Source organism: Homo sapiens, chromosome 3, assembly GCF_000001405.40.
Source record: "Homo sapiens chromosome 3, GRCh38.p14 Primary Assembly".
Classification (NCBI taxonomy): Eukaryota; Metazoa; Chordata; class Mammalia; order Primates; family Hominidae; genus Homo; species Homo sapiens.
The window spans coordinates 86,720,889-86,737,905 of NC_000003.12; the positions used below are offsets into that span (position 1 = coordinate 86,720,889).

The 17,017-nt window shown below is 38.6% G+C and overlaps 1 long non-coding RNA gene across 2 annotated transcripts in view; it reads left to right on the forward strand.

Annotated features, from left to right (window-relative positions):
* The window catches only part of LOC101927518 (uncharacterized), a 78,207-nt gene extending 61,820 nt beyond the window's left edge, over positions 1–16,387 (forward strand). Inside the window, exon 3 of one of the 2 annotated variants that reach the window (XR_941027.4) lies at positions 16,290–16,387. This is a non-coding gene — a long non-coding RNA (uncharacterized LOC101927518). Of the gene's footprint in view, positions 1–1,595; positions 1,766–16,289 lie in introns of those variants that run through there. The other variant, XR_941026.3, reaches the window with a different exon arrangement.
* Positions 16,388–17,017: the final 630 nt, after the last annotated feature.

Here is a 17,017-nt window from a genome sequence, read left to right on the forward strand (position 1 = left end):
TCAAGATTATCTGAAGGTAGGGGAGAAGAGAATGCTGATAACTTAGCCGATTCCACTAAATATTTTCTTTAGTGGGACACTTGCCAAATCATACAATGTATGTACACTATCGACTACCTCTGTTTAATACTCTATAGCAGTCTTCATAATTATAACCACCATTTTGAATACGTCCTAGGTATCTATTACTGAATATTCAGCATTTCATTAAATATTATGGCAATTTTTTTTTTTTTTTTTTTTTGAGACGGAGTCTTGCTCTGTCACCCAGGCTGGAGTGCAGTGGCGCGATCTGGGCTCACTGCAAGCTCCGCCTCCCGGGTTTACGCCATTCTCCTGCCTCAGCCTCTCGAGTAGCTGAGACTACAGGCGCCGGCCACCACACCAGGCTAATTTTTCGTATTTTTAGTAGAGACAGGGTTTCACCGTGTTAGCCAGGATGGTCTCGATCTCCTGACCTCATGATCTGCCCGCCTTGGCCTCCCAAAGTGCTGGGATTACAGGCGTGAGCCACCGCTCCAGGCCACATTATGGGAAATTCTTAATACAAGTATTGTTAACTCATTTGACAGATTAGAAGACTGAAGGTCAAATCTAAATATTTTTTAAAGAGCATGCACTTGAAGAAAATTTATTTTGAACTAAAGTTTGGTTTCAAATTTATTACTGTAAATTATTTTGATATTAAAAAGTCAACTTTACAGAAAAATTGATATGATTGATCTATAGTTCAATCATATCTAGATAATCATTATCATAGATAATATCTATGATTGATCTATTAGATAATATGATCTATCTAATGAATCTATTAGATAATCTGATCTATCTAATGAATATGTGAAAATACTTTTTTCTCTCCTCCTTTTCTCCTAATTTTGGCTTGTTTTCTAAAGAACCTAGATTTATCTTCTGGGTGTTTATATACAAGTTTGGATCTGTTTGTCCATAGGACTTTTATTCATAATAATGCCACCATAAGTCTGGAAAATCTAGTGTCCCACAGTGAACACATTTAAGAGTAATCTATAGAAAGCCACAAGGCAAACACAAAGCAGTAAACAATATATGAACCAGTGCACCTGCAAATTACTTGTCAGAGCTAAGAGTTTCTAGTGACATTAAATATCCCTCACATGGAATATTTCTATTGATTCAGGGTTCATGGAAGGCAAGGGACAAAGGATCATGTTGACTACAACTCAGCTTCTTTTTCTTAATTGATCTTGTGTGTGATTGTCACTCTCGATCAATGTTGAGAAAGAGGAGCCTCTATATCCAGAATTCATCTTCTGAATTCTCCTTACTGATATTGCACCATTACTTATCCCAATCACTGTCAGTTTTTCTTGGCAAATTCTTGGATTTATTTAATGACATAAGCCAGTAATTTGCAACACGTGGTCCCAGACAGCAGCATCAGCATAGCCAGTTGGTATGGGCTGAATTATGTCACCCTGAAATTCATATGTTGAAGATCTAACTTGGAAGACTGTGACTATATTTGGAGAGAGAGCATTTAAAGTGGTGATTAAGTTAAACTGGAGCTATTAGAGTGGTTCCTAATCCAGTATGTCTGTTATCCTTATAAGAAGGGGAGAGAAGAGACACCAGATACTTGCAGACACAGAAGAAATACCATGTGCAAACATACCCAGAAGACCACCATCTGCAAGAGAAGGAGAGAGACCTCAGAATACACCAATGCTGCTGAAACCTTCATCTTGGACTTCCAGCCTCCAGACTTTGAGAAAATAAATTTCTGTTGTTTAAGGAGCGCAGTCTATGGTATTTGGTAATGGCATCCCTAGCAAACTAATGTACCTGGAAAGTTATTAGAACTGAAAAATACTGGTCCCACCTAAAATTTACTGGTTAGAAACTCTGGAGGTGGAGTTCAATAATTTTTGTTTCATCAGGACTTTTGGATGATGTACCCTAACTACTGATTTCAATAACTGATTTAATCTATATTATTGTGGAATTAATTGATATTGCCAGTAAGTTAGATTATTTCAGTAAAGGTCATAAAGGGTCTTCTTTTTTTTCTCAGTAATGAGAAGCCCTAACCCCAGTCCCTCAGTTGTGGTTAATTTTAGATTAGGTGCCATGTGCAGATGAGAAGAATGCATATTCTGCTGTTTTGGGGAGGAGAGTTCTGGAGATATACATTAGGCCCATTTGGTCAAATGTCAAATTCAGGCCCAGGATATCTGTTAATTTTCTGCATCAGTGATCTTTCTAATACTGTCAGTGGCATGCTGAAGTCTTCCACTATTTTTGTGGCATTATCTACACCTCTTCATAGGTCTCTAAGAACTTGCTTTATGAATCTGGGTGCTTCTGTGTTGGGTGCATATATATTTAAGACAGATCTTCTTGTTAAATTGAGCCCTTTAACTATTATGTAATGCCCTTCTTTGTCTTTTTTTGATTTTTATTGGTTTAAAGTATGTTTGGTCTGAAATTAGAATAGAAACCCCTACTTTTTTTTCTACTTTCCATTTGTGTGGTATATTTTTCTCCATCCCTTTCCTTTGAGTCTATGGGTGTCATTGCATGTAAGATGGATCTCTTCAATACTATCATACAGTTGGGTCTTGCTTCTTCAAGCAAATGACTGCTATGTGCCTTTTAATTGGGGCATTTTGCCCATTTAGATTCAGGGTTAATATTGACATTTGCAGGTTTGATCCTGTCATCATGTAGTTAGCTGGTTATTACAATGACTTGATTGTGTGGTTGTTTTATAGTGCCAATGATTTATGTACTTAAGTATGTGTTTGAGGTAGCTGGCACAATTCTTTCCTTTCCATATTTAGCACTTCTTTTAGGATCTCATGTAAGGCAAATCTGGTGGCAATAAATTCCCTTAACATTTACTTGTCTGAAAAGGATCTTATTTGTCCTTCAGTTGTGAATTTCAGCTTGGCTAGATATTAAATTACTGGTTGAAATTTATTTTCTTTAAAATGCTGAATATAGATCCCCAATCTTTTCTAGCTTATTGAGTTTCTTCTGAAAGATCCACTGTTAGCCTGATGGGGTTTCCTATGTAGGTGACCTTCCTCATCTCTCTAGCTGCCTTTAACATTTTTCTTTCACTTCAACCTTGGAGAATCTGATGACTATGTGTCTTGAGGATGATTTTCTTGTATAGTATCTTGCTGGGGTTATCTGCATGAAAAACATCTTGTATATCCATACTTTATGGGGAATATAAAAAAAAACAAACAAAAAACTCAACAACCAATGTTTACTAAAACAAAAAAAAAGGAAAATTGAAGAAATATTTTAAAAACTAATAGAATACCTGAGCTATAAAAGATTAACCAATGTTAATTTCCTTTATATTTGGAGATTGATACCAGAAGAGGTCAGGATAGGGGATGAAGATAATTTAACTAGCTAAATAGTTTACACTTTTTCTTTTTATATTATACAAAATGAGGAGAAGCATCGGTATGCTGAGGAAGGAAAGAATGATATAGCTTCTCCAAGAATCTGTGAGAATAAAAGACAAATCAGGGCCAACTGACAGAGCTCTCAATGGCCAAAACTGAAAATATTTAAGCAGCAATATAAAGTATTATTGGATTATAATCCAAAGTATAAAATAAATATTCTGATACAAAGAAATGACTGAATGAATAAGCAAATTTATTAATAAATGGTGATAGACAAATCTCCCATGCAGAAGAATTCCAAATAACCTAAGTAATTTACCCTTGAGCAAGTGAAGCATAAGTTCCAACTGTTTAAGTGTGAGCTGCACATAGTTATTTTCTTTTTTTTTTTTTTCTTCTTTGAGACAGAGTCTCACTCTGTCTCCCAGGCTGGAGTGCAGTGGTGCGATCTCAGCTCACTGCAAGCTCCACCTCCCGGGTTCACGCCATTCTCCTGCCTCAGCCTCCCAAGTAGCTGGGACTACAGGGGTCCGCCAACACGCCCGCTAATTTTTTGTATTTTTAGTACAGACAGGGTTTCAGCGTGTTAGCCAGGATGGTCTTGATCTCCTGACCTCGTGATCTGCCCGCCTCAGCCTCCCAAAGTGCTGGGATTGCAGACTTGAGCCACCGTGCCCAGCCACGTAGTTATTTTCATCCAGAATATGGAAAGAGGAAAAATAGTAATCTTACGACTATTTTATGATACAAAAACTTAGCCAAGTGATATAGATTATCACCAACAATGATAAGTCATTTGGATAATATGTACTCCTGCTGTGATGTGATGAGAACGACATTTTACCTTTACGGTCTTCTTTTAAAAAAAATTGTAATTTAAGAGTAATCATGAGGAAAACAACAGATAATTCCAACTGAAGTATATTCTACAAAAAAAAAAAAAAATTGGTATTGTTTACCACCATCTAGGTTATCCAGAATAAGTTTGAGAAACTATTACTGTCAAAAGAATCCCAAGGGAACATAACTAAATGTCATGTGATATTCTAGATGGGTTCATGGAAGCAAAGAATATTAGATTAAAATATGAGAAACTGGTTTTCTGGCCTGGCGCAGTGGCTCACGCCTGTAATCCCAGAGCTTTGGGAGGCCAAGGCATGTGGATCATGAGGTCAGGAGTTCAAGACCAGTCTGGCCAACATGGTGAAAGCCGGTCTGTACTAAAAATAGAAAAAATTAGCCGAGTGTGGTAGGGCACACCTGTAATCCCAGCTACTTGGGAGGCTGAGGCAGAGAGTTGCTTGAACCCAGGAGGCGGAAGTTGCAGTGAGCCAAGACTACGCCACTGCACTCCAGACTGGGCAAAAGAGCAAGACTCTGTCTCAAAAAAGAAAAAAAAAAAAGAAAGAAAGAAACTGGTTTTCTAAAAAGTAAGAAAATCTGAATAAAGTATGGCTTTAGTTAATAATACTACATCAATATTGGTTCACTACTTATGAAAAAATATACTACATTAACATATATTAATAATAAATTGATGTATGTTTATGTGAACGCAGTAAAGTCTTGTAATTTTTCTGTAAATTGAAAATTTTTAATATAGAATGTTTATTTAAAAAGAGAAATGAGTTTAGCATGGGAACATGGTTTTATAAATATAGAAGCACTGTATATGTAAGAGATTGTTGTTATCATCTGCCAAAATATTTAGAAATCAAATATCATGAGCTTTGAGATAAAAGAGTTCCGGAGAGAGACTTCATAGTGAAGTCTGGAAACAGGAGAGGTGGCCATTTAATGGCTATGTGACCTTGTACAGACAACTTAATTTCTCTGAGATGTGATATTATTTATAAGTATTAATCATGATGTCTTCCCTGACTAATTTAGAAAGTTCTATTTTTGAGGAAACATTTGGGAATTGTAAATGAGCATATACGATTTAAGGCAATACTCTTATTGTGATTTTTTAAAATGTTGTTAATATTATTTAAAACTCTGATGGAAAATGTGGATATTTAACAACCAGATCTGAGAGAAAAGGAATTACAGTAAGAAAAACTGAACAACTGTGAAGAAAGGGGAGTTTAAAGTGCAATGATGAAGTCCATATTCGTTATATTTAGGGTGAATTCTATATAGTCAGGTTCAGCTTTATTCACTAATTTATGAAAATCTTACATGAGGTATTTAATATTTATGAAATTAATTGATGCATATGTGATGAAATATGCATGTTTAAGGATCATCCTAGTTATTGCATGGAGAAGGACTGGAAAAGGAGCAAGACTGAAGGCAGAGGAACCAATTTTGAGGCTGAGAGGCTACTGGAGTCAACAACACAAGAGATGAATGGTGTTTTATCTAAATTTGTGACAGAGGGTTGAAAAAATGAATGAATTCGAAACATATATGAGAGATAGAATTGTTGCAACTTGGTAATGCATCAGATTGGAGAGTAAGAATGAAGCAGATATCAAGAACAAATGTTAGGTGGGATCATTTACTGAAACAGAAAATAAAGAAGTAAATTTACAGTAGAAATACAACATGTTTACTTTAAATATGTTGGGTTTGAAATATTTATAGGACATTGAGGTGGACCCACCTAATATGTACTTTTCTATACATCTCTAAATATTAAGAGAATGCTACCAGCCAGGGATATATACGCAACAGACTGTGAGCATATAGGATAATTAATAATTACATTTTCGGTTATGAAAGAGATAATGAGAAGAGAGTAGGACTATGAGAAGAAAGCCAGAGACTGAGGTATGAAATCATCTCATAAAGAACCCTTAATTCCTGGTTAAAGTCCCATCTATTTAGCAACTGCAATATTGCCCCAATCAATTTTTTTTAACCTCACTAGTGTTTACACAAAGATGCAACAAAAACTAGACTGCTCTAATCTGTTCCAAACAAAAATATTGTATTTTTAACGTTGCCTTGTCATTCTGCTCTTTTGTCTTTGAATTCCACCATTCATCCAAGGAGCAATTCATTTAATTATTTACATTTTTATTGAGACATCAATCTGCTAGTGGAATCTTACTGAGGGCATTCCATATAGAATGTTGTGACTCTTCATATGCCATGTCATGCAGGTCCTTCAAACCACCTTGAACTCTGTAATATGTAATATGCCTTAGTCATGCTTTAGGGTTCCCATTGTCTATCAATTCATCTATACTTGCCGTAAAACTCAGGACACACTTAAACTTTATCTTGCCTTTTAATGTTTCTTATTTTTTGGTGCATGTGTGTAGTGTCTTCTTGTAGGTTGTAAATAACTAGACTGCAGGGAACACTCCCATTCTTCACTTCACCTAGCAAAGTACCTTGCCATTACCTATTTGCTGATTCATTGATTAATTTTTTGACTAAGAAAAATAATCTATATTTATTAAGAAAAAGGAGGAGGATGTGCAAGCTTGAGAGAGTAGTTCATAAAAAACAAGATAGTTCTATTTCATGCTTTCTGTGGTGAGTCAAATGGTGATCATTTCTTGTGTTAATGATGAAGAGAAATAGAATTTGTGATTACATGACAACGAAATGTATTTTCTATTTTCAGTTCATACCAATAAAATAGTTATAGAGTTAAGCATTTTTAAATTATGGGGTTTTTTTGTCTTCCAATAGCCACAATATTTATAACATCTCTTGGGGGTATACTTTAAGAGGATTCTGTATGTCAGACTTCATGGCAGGATGGCTTTCCTTGCCATCAACAGATTTAGGGAGATGTCATCATCAATTTCCACCTTCAAATAGGTCACTTCATGGTCAATAAATGCAAACTCACTTTAACAAATTAAAAACTCTCTGGTGTAATAGTCTCCCTCTCTCCGTCTATGGAAACCATTATGAGAGTTTGACCTCCAAAAAGCACCCCATTGATTCTGACTTGAATCAAGATATGGCTGGCCCCAGAAAGCCCTTTTCCCAACCTCAACAATAAAGAATTCTTTCTTTTGGAAATGTCTCCAAACTTGTCCCCTGTAGCCAACCAAGGACTGCCAAATATACCTGAAAACTAGTTTGAAATCTCTCTGTTACCAAGACATAAGGGATTTGGTCTAGGTCCTGCTGCTCACCTCAAAGAAAACCAATCACTGAGACAAGGATTATTGCCAAGGAAGAAGGCTGTGATTGGGTGCCACAGCCAAGGAGATGGGAGATCAGTCTCAAATCCAACTCCCTGACCAACTAAAATTGGGGGTTTATTTAGCAGGGAAGAAATATAACCATGTGTGAGAAAATGAAAACTCAGGAGTGGCAAGAAAGCAATCATGATGAATGAGGGACCTTGAGTCTCAGTGTCTGGATACCATCATCATGTGAATTTCAGTTCTTTGAGACTTTTTGAGAGACCTGGGGTTCTTTCCTTTGGAGGGAACTGAGATAAAACAAATGTAAATGTCAAGCTTTAAGACCAGAAAGGTCAATTTCTATATTTAGTTTCAAAAAAACAAAAAACAAACAAAAAAACCTGTCTATGGATCCATTGGGTCAGTTTCACCTCCAAACTCCCTTCCAAAAACCTCATCTTCAAAGAACAATTGCTTTGTTCATGGGATGTATCAGTATTTCTTTTTAGTACTCTATAAAATGTACTATTTTCTAATATCTGTGAACTCATGCAACAGATGAGTTCCCTTGCCATACTTTTGAAATAAGCAGTCTTTAATAATTTTGTCTTGAATTTAAATTTATTCTTGGACATAAATGCATAATAATAAATGTAAGTGTCCTACATTGTATTTTTAATATATATTTTTTGAATTATTTAAATTAACAGTATAAATGGTTGAGAAATTGTGATTCTTTTTAGATGGAATTTTAACAACCCTTTAGTTAGGCTGCCTCTTGTTATACATTCATTGATGTGCATTCAATATTCTTATTACATACTGGATCAGAATTAGGTTCATAGTTCTTTAATTCTTTGCAACACAGACAAAATATCACGGTGACATTTTCCATATATTATATCCTGATGCACCTGAGCATAATCTCTGGAAACTTTCCGGTTTTTGATGAGTCTCATTACAGCCTTAGATAATGGTTTTTCTTTGTGTCTAGATACAGGTTTCCAGGCTAAACCTTTAATTTTGTAGCAATTGAAAGGTTAACACCTTCTATTAACAGAAGAACTATATTGTGGTAATAAGAAACCATTGCACCTCTGCTGGGTAATGTCTAAACACAAGGAGCTTTACATGTCAGAGTTACCTGGTGTAGAAGTTAATACGAAAGATTTTAACACACCTCTATTCTGTTTTCTCTAGCTTTTCAATTGTATTCCAAATAGCAAGCTGTTAACCTTTCAGGTCCTAGTCTATAATTTGTATTCTGGCTAACAGCTGATTTACTTTACTGAAAGTTTTGCTGATGTAAGGAGCAAAGGATCAAGAGTTTAATGGACACACACACACAAAAAGCCCAACTCTATGCATTTAAATCTATCTTATATCAGAAGAACTTATGATAAATTTACAGCAATAAAATGTCAAGGTGTTAATAAGAATTAACAGGTTTCCGTGTGATTATATGACAGAATCACAGCCCAAAATATCACCTTTTTGCTGGAACTGGGAAAAACACACTGAACAGATGCATCCAGAAAGATAACCATTGTAAAAAGCATCTGTCTAAACTCTAAGTGTAAATTATTCTTTAAAAAGAGTCCACTTTCAGCCGGGCACGGTGGCTCATGCCTGTCATCCCAGCACTTTGGGAGGCCGAGGCGGGCAGATCATTAGGTCAGGAGATTGAGACCATTCTGGCTAACATGGTGAAACCCCGTCTCTACTAAAAATACAAAAAAATTAGCAGGGCGTGGTGACGGGCGCCTGTAGTCCCAGCTACTCCGGAGGCTGAAGCAGGAAAATGGCGTGCACCCGGGAGGCCGAGCTTGCAGTGAGCCAAGATCACGCCACTGGACTCCAGGCTGGGCTACAGAGCGAGACTCCGTCTCAAAAAAAAAAAAAAGTCCACTTTGAAAATATGACATCAGAAGAGACTTAAGCATTGAAATACAGTTCCCACTTGCATTTAATGATGCTTTTACTTTAAAAAAATAGACAACCTGTTTCCAGATACAAATATGCTTAATTTTTTTAAATTAAAACTGCTAAGAAACAGATGCCCCTTTATGTACCTCTCACATAGGGACAGACAATTTTAAAGTTATAGGCCTTCTTGTTTTAAATCAAAGAGATCGTATTGATTCTCTTTACTGACTCCACAAATCAGACCTTTGCCTTCGTTGTTTTCAGCTGTGTATTTAGCATTAATTGCTTTTAGCCTCACGTCTTACTACTTTCTTAGATTGTAATCTCCATGTGGTCAGGAATCTTTTTTTACCCTTCATTGTATTGTGTCCGGAATTGGTGGGTTCTTGGTCTCACTGACTCCAAAAATGAAGCCACGGACCCTCGCAGTGAGTGTTACAGTTCTTAAAGAGGGCGTGTCCGGAGTTTGTTCCTTCTGATGTTCGGATGTGTTTGGAGTTTCTTCCTTCTGGTGGATTCGTGGTCTCGCTGGCTTCAGTAGTGAAGCTGCAGACCTTCGCAGTGAGTGTTACAGCTCTTAAGTCAGCGCATCTGGAGTTGTTCGTTCCTCCCGGTGGGTTTGTGGTCTTGCAGGCCTCAGGAGAGAAGCTGCAGACCTTCGTGGTGAGTGTTACAGCTCATAAAGGCAGTGTGGACCCAAAGAGTGAGCAGCAGGAAGATTTATTGCAAAGAGCAAAAGAACAAAGCTTCCACAGGGTGGAAGGGGACCCGAGCGGGTTGCCACTGCTCACTCAGGCAGCCTGATTTTATTCCCTTATCTGGCCCCACCAACATCCTGCTGATTGGTCCATGTTACAGACGGCTGATTGGTCCATTTTGACAGGGTGCCGATTGGTGCGTTTACAATCCGTGAGCTAGATACAAAAGTTCTCCAAGTCCCCACTAGATTAGCTAGACACAGACCACTGACTGGTGCATTTACAAACCTTGAGCTAGACACAGGGTGCTGATTGGTGCACTTACAAACTTTGAGCTAGTTACGGAGTACAGATTGGTGTATTTACAATCCCTTAGCTAGACATAAAGATTCTCCAAGTCCCCACCAGACTCAGGAGCCCAGCTGGCTTCACCCAGTGGATCCCGCACCAGGGCTGCAGGTGGAGCTGCCTGCCAGTCTCGCACCATGGGCCCGCACTCCTCAGCCCTTGGACGGTCGATGGGACTGGGTGCCGTGGAGCAGGGAGGCTCGGGCCACGCAGGAGCCCACAGCGGGTCGGGGGAGGGTCAGGCATGGCGGGCTGCAGGTCCCAAGCCCTGCCCCACGGGCAGCTAAGGCCCAGCGAGAAATTGAGCGCAGCAGCTGCTGGCCCAGCTGCTAAGCCCCTCACTGCCCAGGGCTGGCCGGCCGCTCCAAGTGTGGGGCCCACCGAGCCCATGCTCGCGCTGGCCCACAAGCGCTGCGCACAGCCCCAGTTCCTGCCCATGCCTCTCCCTCCACATCTCCCCACAAGCTGAGGGAGCCGGCTCCCACCTTGGCCAGCCCAGAAAGGGGCTCTCACAGTGCAGCGGTGGGCTGAAGGGCTCCTCAGGCATGGCCAGAGTAGGCACCAAGGCCGAGGAGGCGCCAAGAGCGAGCGAGGGCTGCGAGGGCTGCCAGCACACTGTCACCTCTCAGTATCTTGTAGAATCTACCAGATAATTTATAACATAGTTATTTTAAAAAAATAGAATTATTGCATAAAGATAAATAAATATAAGTAAGTCCTTTGGCATTGTAATCCTGTACATGCATCCTTACGTGTTTATATAGGAGGCTCCTTACTATTCATGTATTTGGTTTTCTATTATAGGATGTTATTTTTTCAAGATAACACTTGATCTCTGAGCACATCTATGTTTACTTCCACCCAATTGGTTTATTGGAAAAGAAAGTCAGAATGTTTGTTATACAGTACTTTTGTGTCTGGAATTGGTGGGTTCTTGGTCTCCCTGACTTCAAGAATGAAGCCGCAGACTCTCACGGTTAGTGTTACAGTTCTTAAAGACAATGTGTCCAGAGTTTGTTCCTTCAGATGTTCAGATGTGTCCAGTTTCTTCTTTCCAATGGGTTCGTGGTCTTGCTGACTTCAGGAGTGAAGCTGCAGACCTTCGTGGTGTTGAAGTTCATAAAGGTGATGCGTCCAGCATTGTTCGTTCCCCCCATCTAGAATTGTTCATTTCTGCTGGTGGGTTTGTAGTCTCGCTGGCTTCAGGAGTGAAGCTGCAGACCTTTACAGTGTTACAGCTCTTAAAGGCGGCGCAAACCCAAAGAGGGAGCAGTAGCAAGATTTATTGCGAAGAGCGAAAGAACGAAGCTTCCACAGCATGGAAGGGGTCCCAAACCTGTTGCTGCTGCTTGCTCAGGTGGCCTGCTTTTATTCCCTTATCTGGCCCCACCCACATCCTACTGATTGGTCCATTTTGACAGGGTGCTGATTGGTGCATTTATGAACCTTGAGCTAGATACAAAAGTTCTCCAAGTCCCTACTAGATTACCTAGACACAGAGCACTGATTGGTGCATTTACAAACCTTGAGCTAGACACAGAGTGCTGATTGGTGCATTTACAAACTTCGAGCTAGACACACAGTGCTGATTGGTGTATTTACAAACCTTTAGCTAGACAGAGAGTGCTGTTTGGTGCCTTTACAATCCTTCAGCTTACAATCCTTCAGCTAGACACAAAAGTTCTCCAAGTCCCCACCGGATTAGCTAGACACAGAGCACTGATTGGTGCATTTACAAACCTTTAGTTAGACACAGAGTGCTGATTGGCACGTTTACAAACCTCTAGCTAGACACAGAGTGCTGATTGGTGCGTTTACAATCCTTTAGCTAGACACAAAAGTTTTCCAAGTCCCCACCCAACCCAGAAGCAGCTCTCAATGGCACTTGGCTGCCGGACTTTGTGTCACCTAGCCCGGGCACTTGGCAGCCCAGAGGGAGCTCCTCCCCTGATCAAGCCCAGCAGGTGGGAAGATGAAGCCCAGCAGGCACGGAGTGTGGGCGGGCAGAGTGCAGACCTGCTGAGCCCGTGCCCACCTGGAACCTGCACCAGCCCCAGAGCGCTGAGCACAGCCCCGGCTCCCGCCTGCGCCTCTCCCTCCACACCTCCGGGCGAGTAGAGGGAGCAGGCTCTGGCCTCGGGCCAGCCTCAGAGAGGGGCCCCCACAGCGCAGCGGCGGGCTGAAGGGCTCCTGGAGCGGCGTCAGAGCGGACGCCGAGGCCGAGGAGGCCCCGAGAGTGAGAGAGGGCTGCTAGCACATTGTCACCTCTCACAACATAGAATTAAATGTCCAACTTTTTTATTTTGCTTTTTAATTTATAATTGTAGATTCTTGCAGACACAATCTGATTGGCCAACTCCTGCAGGTTAACAGAGCCATCAAAAGAGACGTAGTTAGGACCCAGAATTCTCCAAGGCCATGTCTGATGATTAGCACAAAATAGTTTGCTGCTGATACTATCAAGAGTCCTCTCCACCTTGTCAACTCAATTTCTTGCTTCATTGCTTTGAACCGCTATGGGACAGCAGGAGTTTAAGGGATGTCAACAAGAACACACTTGTTCTCTCAGGAATTTAGTACAAGAGGATAAACACTTACACAGCTGGCCAGACTAATAGGTATAGAAGTGTGTGAATTAAGTGTTTAATAAATGCATGAACATTTTATTATACAGGGTCCAAAGGACCTTCCTCAGAATTATTGAATTTGACTGAACTATGTGGAGTCTACTTGGTGTAATTTCTTCTTAAAAACAAAGTTATACATTCTTTCTTACACAATCATCATGTTGAATACATTAAACACTAACACATATGGCTGTATTTTGTCATATATTTCTGTGAAAACTCAATAATGACAAAACTCAAAATGAAAATTCAGAGAAATAACTTCAGTTGATTTTTTTCTATTTTGTGTATTTGCAATGAATAATGTTTATGAGCAATTTAGGCCCCACAGTGGAAAATCAGAAAGCTCTACAGGTATTTTCTGTATTCTTTTGAATATTTGTCTGTACAAACGCTATCTTTGTTAATGAATCTTCATTCTTCAAAAAGTGTTACGGGCTGGGCACAGTGGCTCATGCCTGTAATCCCAGCACTTTGGGAGGCCGAGGCGGGTGGATCACCTGAGGTCAAGAGTTTGAGACCAGCCTGACCAATATCATGAAACCCCATCTATACTAAAAATACAAAAATTAGTTGGGCGTGGTGGTGTGCACCTGTAGTCCCAGCTACTTGGGAGGCTGAGACCAGAGAATTGCTCGAACCCGGGGGGCAAAAGTTGCAGTGAGCCGAGATTGTGCCATGGTACCCCAGCCTGGGTGACATAGCAAACTCCATCTCAAAGGAAAAAAAAAATGTTACAGAAGACCAAACTACCAAACTTAGGCACCGGAAATCTGTGGAACACAAAGCTGTTACTTTTATCGTAGGTGAACAAACTACAATTTACCTGGCAGAGTGTTCAGCTATACTATCTAGCCCTTGAATGGATATCATATTAGTTTCACAAAAGCTTTTACTTGAACCTATAAGAGGCTCAGTGGTTTAAATGAAAATCAGCATTATTGAATTACCACTTTTCTAACATACCTGCAAAAAGATGATCATGATTGTGTGGTTAGGGTTGGGCTTTGAGCTATCGATTGTTACTGCTAGACCCATACTCAGGTCTTTCAGATAGAGTTTATTAGTTAGAATTCAAGCAATATCATTCGACTTTTTGTATTTTCACTGGCAGATGTAACAAAACTTACCCTTAAAGTGTAGGATATCTGACTAATTGAAAAACAGGGTAAAGGGTTAAAATCTACTTAGGAAGATAAGCCTTAAAGCACAACACTGAAGTGAGAAAATGAACATGACAGCATTTTACCAGTCCCCCAAAACTGCTGAAATTCACTTTCAAAAATACAACAAAATGGAAATAACTGGTTCAAAAATATTAAGCCTCTATTTTCTCAATTTGGAGAAAAATTGTTTTTTACCTACAGCTGGTGAATATTTTATAAATAGCATTTTACACTATTTAAGCCCACTGGCAGCAATAGATTCCTTTTCTGTGGAAACACTGTTAAAGTCTATTTAAAGTATTGGAACATTTTATGAGGTCGGGAGGAATTAGACTGTGTATATTTAATTTCCTCATTTCACACACACTGTTATCATTACTGATAAAATCACGTCGACTATGTCTAAAATACTTAGGGTAACCTACTTGACTGTTGTTTATTAGTGTGTAGAAAAAATATCCTTTTGTTTCTTAAGTTTACTTCTCATCTTTAAATAGTTTGAATTAGGTTGAGTCCTAAAATGAGAACATTGCACAGAACAAGTTCTCAGCAAAATTTTTGATAAATGTAAAGTTTTTCTCTGCCTCTTCCTTCTCTGATACCCTATTCAATAATTTGTCATGCCTTTTCTCAAACAGACCTTTAGCTTCATTTCCAACTCTAGGTATATTGTCCCTTGATGTTCTTTATTTTCTGAAAGGACTATTCCTTCCTTCTCTTTTCTACCCATAACCTCCATTAAAATGCTCGTATTTTTCAGTGAAATGAAGGAAAAAGTAATCAGATTTTAAAAGGTGAATAAGAATCTTTTGAAGTATTAGATTTTTTTAAGAACAGATTTTCTTTGCACAAAAGACCTATCATCAGTAATAATTTTCTTAACAGAGAGTTAAACTAAATTATTTTTTAATATCCATTTTCCCTCAAAATACTAGAAAAAAAATAAACTAAAATGAACCATTAAAAGGTTTGTAAAGATCAATTTGTATAAAAGATCAGATAAATTTTAACAACAGGCATCAGTTTCAACGCTTAGACAACTACACAGTTTTCTTACAAAATTATCCCTTCTTGGTGTTTTGGGATAAATAATAAGACATGAAATGGAAAGTGGTCAGGCCTGGTGAGGTGGCTCACGCCTGTAATCCCAGCACTTTGGGAGGCCGAGGTAGGAGGATCACAAGGTCAGGAGTTTGATACCCGCCTGACCAACATGGTGAAACCCCCGTCTCTACTAAAAATACAAAAATTAGCCGGGCGTGGTGGCAGGCGCCTGTAATCCCAGCTACTCAGGAGGCTGAGGCAGGAGAATCGCTTGAACCCAGGAGGCAGAGGTTGCAGTGAGCCGAGATCACGCCACTGCACTCCAGCCTGGATGACAGAGTGAAACTGTCTCAAAAAAAAAAAAAAAGGAAGTGGTTAAATTCTGAAATAGAAAAATGAAAGTTACAAAACTGAGTAAAAACTTAATATGAGCACAAATAGACTCCATAAGAGTAAGAGCCATTTTAGTCTTGCATTACTAAGGCTTTATTTTATCTAAGCCCTGAATTTTCATTCCAAAAGTATGATTTCAGTTTTAAAATTTTTCTGTTTATATGCCCCTCAAATATTCCCCTCAAAAAGTTAACATAACATATATATCATATTGGAGTCTGTACTATATTTAAAGCATGCTAATCCACCTTAATTTAGTATTATAAGTATATTTTAGTATAAATTGTTCTTATTAATAAACGTTTTTCATAGTAAAGAATCCTACTATATGAATTCTGGGTGGAAATAAAACAAATATTGCTGTTTATAAGCTTATTATTTAACTCTGCAACCACTGTGACACTATATATACAATAGAGAAATTTTGTATTATCAAATCTCTCACAAACCAGTGTCACAGAGTAGATTATCGCTTTGGGCATAAGAAATAGCAAACCTATGACATTAGTTAAAAACTTTGTAACCAGATCATCATATCTCACACAAAATCCACAGTTGAATTAATTTGCTTTTCTATTTTCAGATTCTGCTACCCCACTCCCATCTATGCTGGTCTGCTGAAAAAACAAAACACGCTTGAAATAGCATATAGAAAATAAAATTTGCAACTTGTAGTCACAATTTGCTTTGACACTCTATTAAATATTGGAGTTAAAAAGAGTTCTCCATAGATCTGAATAAACATTTACTTTACATTTGCTTCCAGTTATTAGATTTTTGCAACAAAAAATTTAGCAGTCAAATTCAATTATTTGAGTTCTGAACAATGGCTTAGTCATGTAAAAATACTATAGAGGTAAATGATGGTTATTACTCCAATATATCTTGGTGTTAGTTCAAAGTTACTCTTTCAAATAATGTTGATAGAACTTTCCAGAAGAATTTAACATTTTATTTTGGGAGAGAGATTATCACATACTGCATTATTTACCAATCCAATTACTTAGTTATTAGGTTGTATTTTCAATTCCTTTTGTTGTCACTAATGGACTGATTTGTCCTGTGTAATGCATTCAGTCTTTGACCATTATAAAATAGAAACTAAAACGAGAACACTAAAACACCTTCACTTTCATTAAAGGCGAAGCCTCCTAAAATCATATCACATGTGAGCGAACACAAGCTGTTTAGTGCGATAACATAGATTCAACTCAATTTCTAGATCTTTTGACTTTGTATACCTCTATATTCTCAACCGTTAAATGACAAAAGAAAGAATGCATATCTTAAGCTCTCTAGCGATGTTGGAGG